This window comes from Homo sapiens, chromosome 14 (assembly GCF_000001405.40).
Source record: "Homo sapiens chromosome 14, GRCh38.p14 Primary Assembly".
In the NCBI taxonomy this organism is placed as follows: domain Eukaryota; kingdom Metazoa; phylum Chordata; class Mammalia; order Primates; family Hominidae; genus Homo; species Homo sapiens.
This window is the reverse complement of record NC_000014.9, coordinates 56,691,551-56,697,550: the sequence shown is the minus strand read 5'-3', so window position 1 is coordinate 56,697,550 and position 6,000 is coordinate 56,691,551. Positions and strand designations below refer to the sequence as shown.

The 6,000-nt window shown below is 45.3% G+C and overlaps 1 pseudogene; it reads left to right on the top strand.

The window, feature by feature from the left end:
- Positions 1 to 1,376: 1,376 nt before the first annotated feature.
- On the top strand, positions 1,377 to 1,548 carry LOC124903433 (uncharacterized; annotated as a pseudogene).
- Positions 1,549 to 6,000: the final 4,452 nt, after the last annotated feature.

Genomic DNA, 6,000 nt, shown 5'->3' with positions numbered 1-6,000 from the left:
AAATCTAATTGAATTAAATAGGAAACTAAATTTAAAATAAACTTCCAGTCCAGGCACAGTGGCTCATGCCTGTAATCCCAGCACTTTGGGAGGCCGAAGCGGGAGGATCACTTGAGGTCAGGAGTTTGAGACCAGCCTGGCCAATATGGCAAAACACCCTCTCTATTAAAAATACAAAAATTAGCCAGGCGTGGTGGCAGGCACCTGTAATCCCAGCTACTCCAGAGGCTGAGGCAGGAGAATTGCTTGAACCCAGTGAGAGGCGGAGGTTGCAGTGAGCAGAGATCACACCACTGCACTCCAGCCAGGGCAACAGAGTGAGGCTCCATCTCAAAAATAAAAATAAAAAACAAACTTCCAATTGTTCTAACTGCTTTATAGTATTTATCTCCTTAAGACCCCACAGAAGCCAGTGAGAGAATCTGGCTCCCAACTGCGGGGACAACACTGAGGTGTGGCACCTTCTTGGCTCTGGAGGGAGCTCGGTCCCTGGACCTGCATTCTCCCACAGGCCCTGCCTCCTGCCCACTTGTCTCAGCATCTGGTTGTGGAAAAAAAAATTGCCATGTGATACTGCAGTTGCATGTGATGATTCAGAGGGTAAGGGAACCTGAACAGAGCTTCTCAGCATCCCAGGACAACTTATAAGTCTCTTCTGGTGCCAGCTTCCCAAGATGATTTTGGTCTCCTATTATGGGGAGCTCAGGTGAAATATGGGCACTGTGTGCCTACTCACTCTGCATCTGAATAGTCCTAAAGCCTCATAGAAAGGTTATATCCTTTCTATCTTCATATCCTTGATACAAGACTCCCAGCTGGGCATGATGGCTCATGCCTGTAATCCCAGCACTCTGGGAGGCTGAGGTGGGTGGATCACTTGAGTTCAGGAGTTCCAGACCAGCCTGGCCAACAGGGTGAAACTCGTGTCTCTACCAAAAAACAGAAAAAAAGCCAGGCGTGGTGGCGTGCGCCTGTACTCCCAGCTACTTGGGAGGCTGAGGTGGGAAAATCGCTTGAACCCGGGAGGTATAGGTTGCAGTGAGCCAAGATAATGCCACTGCACTCCAGCCTGAGTGACAAGAGTGAAACTCTGTCTCAAAAAAAAAGACACCCTTACACTTCCCCTAGAGGAATCTCTGAGGGAAAATCTATGCAGATCTCTAAAGGGTCACTGGGAAAGCAGGAGAAAGGGACCAAGGCGAGTGCAACTACTCAGTAGCCGCCGTGAGGGGCTCAACCATGATGATACTGGAGGGTGTCATTGATGTGGATATGCAGTGACAAAACTGAGTGTTCTTTGTGTGTGTTGGGGGAAATATCCAGGAGACAGTGTGTCTCTTCTTTCTTCCCTTGAAATTTAACTTAATTCTGTTACAATCACTTCTCGGCCTTTTGGCTAAGATCAAGTGTAATTCTGTTATATTATTTTTATGTTGTATTATGTTTAAATTATTTGGGGATGTAGGTGGGGTTTAAGTAGAGTAAATAGTTAACTGTGATATCCTACATGGGGACAGTCATGGTTCGCTTGCATTCACCTCATTCATTCATCCATCAAAAATATTTTTAAGGATCTACCGCTTGCCAGACAGTGTACTAGGCACAGGGATACAGAAAGAAGAGACACTGTCACGGGGTCAGGAGTTCGAGACCAGCCTGGCTCACATGGTGAAACTCCGTCTCTACTAAAAATACAAAAATTAGCCAGACGTGGTGGCGGGCGTCTGTAATCCCAGCTACTCGGGAGGCTGAGGCAGGAGAATTGCTTGAACCCAGGAGGCAGAGGTTGCAGTAAGCTGAGATCACGTCATTGCACTCCAGCCTGGGCAGACAGAGCAAGACTCCATCTCGGAAAAATAAAAAACAAAGACACTGTTCTTGAATTCAGTATAAAGTGGGAGATAAACAAATAAGCAGGCCCTGACAATCTAGCAGAACGAAAGCCATGTGAGATCGTGCCTTGGTAGCTTTGGGGGCTTCGGGGAAGTGCACTATGCCAACATGTATCCTGCAGTATGGAAATTCCACCCGTGGAGACAGGAAGCCCTCTTAAGAAGTCTTCCGTTTAAAATAAGGTCTTACCTTGGCTTCTCCCAGAAAGGGCAGTCTGAGCCGACGGCCTGTGTGTCAGTGGTTTATTTTGATAAGCCATCCTAGGGGTCTGGTGTGAGGGAATCAAGAAGAACCAAACAAGGGCTGGGCTTGGTGGCTCACGCCTGTAATCCCATCACTTTGGGAGGCTGAGGTGGGTGGATCGCCTGAGGTCAGGAGTTCAAGACCAGCCTGGCCAACATGGTGAAACTCCATCTCTACTATTAATAAAAATATAAAAACTATCCGGGCATAGTGGTGCATGCCTGTAATCCCAGCTATTTGGGAGGCTGAGGCACAAGAATCACTTGAACTTGGGAGGCAGAGGTTGCAGTGAGCTCAGATTGCTCCACTGCACTCCAGCCTGGGCAACAGGGCAAGAGTCCATCTCAAAAAAAAAAAAAAAAAAAAAAAAGGAGGAAGGGAAAGCCAACTTAGGGGTGCATTACAGAGCTACAGAGCTGGTTACTCCCATGGGCAAGTGGGAGAGTTCCCCCAGGGAGGCTTTCTGAGGAACCACTGAAAGGCATGGGAAAGGGGAGGTTTCCCCTATTGGCTCTTCCATCCTTTGGTCAAAGTTCGCTCTGGAGTGTTGACTCTCACATTTCCTGGGTTTTGTGTGCATGCACCAGGGCTGTGGAGACAGAAGCCTGGGAGTGGGGGCAGGAGAAAGGAAGGACAGCCGAGGAAGGGATGTCAGGCTCCAACTGCACAGGAGGCTGCTGCAGCAACAGCAGGAGCTCACGGTGGCCTGAGTCAATGGACAAAAGGTCATCAAAGGTGCTTGGCTGAAAGGAAATGTTATCAGAGGAAAAGTTACCATTCCACTAGGCTAGTGCCAGCTACCAAGCATGCATATTCAATTCTGATCAAGCATTTATTGGGCTTTCCACTCCAGGGTCTGGTTTGCTCCCTCAGGGTCCTCCCGAGGAAAGGGACCAGAGGACAGGCAAATTCCGAAAAGTCAGTGGGAGAAGAACCTTTTTGGGGCAGTGAGAGGTGGTGGAAGTTTTCGAGGGAAAACAAGGAAAGCCCATGAGACTGACTCAGATCACCAACTGCCTGAGGAGAGTGTGAAGGAAGCTTGAGAGGTCCTCTGTGGAAAGGAGGAGAGAAGCGCCTGTGGCAAAGCTCTCCAGCTGTACTCAGGAGGAGTCCCTCTAGGAGAAACTCAAATGAAGATGCTTAAAGACAGCAGGGCACTCAGGGATTCACGGAGAGGGAGACTGACAAGTTTTCGAGAAGTCTGAAAGCCTTCATCCTTAGCATATTTTCTGAACTAAGGCCACATTGCAAACCCAGGCCATTACACATGCTTGAAACATAAGACACATTTCCCCAGAAGGCGAGGCCAGTTTCTGTAAAGATTGGTCATGATGAATAGCCTTCTCATTGCTCCACCAAACTTGGGTTTCATTGGAATTGGATTACGCCGTTGCTGCTTTGAACATACAATCCTACTCAGCTGGGAGCTGAGACACTACCTTCTGTGGCCGTAACTCTGCACTCTAATAGAATAACTGTCAGAACCACTAGCCATCAATTCTGGCTCCTCTTTCCTTATTGGTATTGGAAAACACCTTCAATATGTTTAAAACCAAATGCCCAAGTGCTTTATTCCAGAAGGCCAAACACAGCCTGGAACTCCTCAAGCAACCCAGGCCCCCACATATCCCACTTGGTTTATTTTTTGCATGTGCAAACCTAGAGTTCCAAAGACCCACATGCATGGGCTGCAATTCCCAAATAAGGAGAGGAAAAACAGAGGAAATTATCCAGAAAGAAACAGAGTTTCAAACCTCCAAGTCATAAATGTATTAATTACAGCTACCATTTCTTGCATGCTTACTGTGTGCCAGGTCCTGTCCAAAATAGAGTTATCTCATTTGATCCTCATAACAGTGTGAAGTAGGTGCTAGTTTCCACATTTTATAATCAAGGAAACTTGATCAAATAACATGCCCATGGCTGGGCGCAGTGACTCATGCCTGTAATCCCAGCACTTTGGGAGTCTGAGGTGGACGGACAATGAGGTCAGGAGTTCGAGACCAGCCTGACCAACATGGTGAAACCCCGTCTTTACTAAAAATACAAAATTAGCCGAGCATGGTGGTGCATGCCTATAATCCCAGCTACTTGGGAGGGTGAGGCAGAAGAATCGCTTGAACCTGGGAGGCAGACGTTGCAGTGAGCCGAGATCGCGCCACTGCACTCTAGCTTGGGCAACAAGAGAGAAACTTCATCTCAAAAAAACAAACAAACAAACAAACAAACAAAAACAAAAAAACCAGGCTCATAATCATACAGTTGGAAGGGCAAGAGCCAGAACTCAATTCAGATCTGATTCCGAAGCCCTGGCTTTAGGTATTGAGTAGGGGGGAAAATTATAAATAGGAATAAAAATATCCCCTATGAAAACATCTTCTCTCCAAAAGGATGAGTTGAGATATTTCTAATAATCTGTTATCACTGCTTTGAGTTCTTGGCTTCAAGAGCAGAAATATTATCTTTTCTCCTCATTGACTTCTCTTCAGCAAAACCAGGCCACCCAATCACCTCCTCCCCAAAACCACAACCAATTATTCCTACACACTCCTGTTAATTACGAGTTACGCAGGTCCTTTCGGAGACAGAAGGAGTGATGAGGCCAGTCAGCCAGAAAACATCTTCCTTCCACAAACATTCCTCACTGGGGCTAAAGGCTTCAGCTACCCAGATCTTGCAACGTAGTAATGTCTCTAAGCAAAGAGACTTTTTTCCTCCTTTTTGACTCTGGATTGCATCCCATGGTGCTAAAAGAGAACGGACTGAGTAGATTAGGCATCAACTTTGACTCTCCTCTATAGGTAGGGCATGGAATGATTGATTTGCCTCTCTTTATTATGGAGACTTCCTCCTTCACACACATGGATGCCCACTGAACCCTTCTGAGGCCACTTGTCAAGTAAAATGAGGCAGTTGAGAACAACTGAATGAACAACCTCCTCTTTTAAACATTTTAATCGATTCTTTCATCTTGCCGTTGCTCTTGGTGGGTGACTTTCGTACTTGAAGCACTCACCTTTTCTCCATTATGCCCTCTTACCTGCACAGGGTGGTTTTCTGCCTCCTCCTTGTGGAGTGCAATCAACATTCTGTTATTCTCTGTCATTTGGATGTTACTTTGTGCAAACAGTAGTTTAAAAAAAAAAATACCGTCAGGAGCTCTGCTGTCTACACAAATCAACAACAATGAGAAACAAGAAGTGGATTACTACCGAACGAAATCCTTTTTGTTCTAAACTGTAATCAACTATATTGGATGCGAGGTTTGTCCATTTTAAAAATTTAATAATGGGGTTTGGTCCTCTTGTTTCTATAAAAAGGGCATTTATAAATATTAATATGGAATGCCAGGGAAAGAACAATACATAACAATAATGAGAATCACAAAATCCCATCACATTTGACACTGTCATATCACCAGCTTAAGGATTAGCAGGTTAACCTTAGAGTTAAAAATATTGCTTTATGATTAAAAAAAAAACCTCACAATAAAAAAAGCTCCTTGCTGCATTATATATTCGTTGCAGCTTCCTTATTTTTCTTCAGGTGATGGGATCACTGCTTCGATTAACATTTTTGGGGAGAGGAGGCTTATAAGAAGGTGGTAGGTTGACTTATCTGCGTTCTTTCTTGTTCAAGTCATGCTGAGCTTGTCTTTTGTCTAATTCTAACCCCTGACACTACTTGAGTCAAAGGCCTGGCAACTAATATCCCCATTTTAGCTGGGGGTTTTTATCCACTCAGAGCTCCGTTTTAAATGATAAAGTTACCCAAGGTGTCAGTTTTCACCAGTATTTCTAAATACATCTAGTAAAAATGCAGCAATTTCATAGAAATCCAAGCTACTGAGATCTAATCACTGCT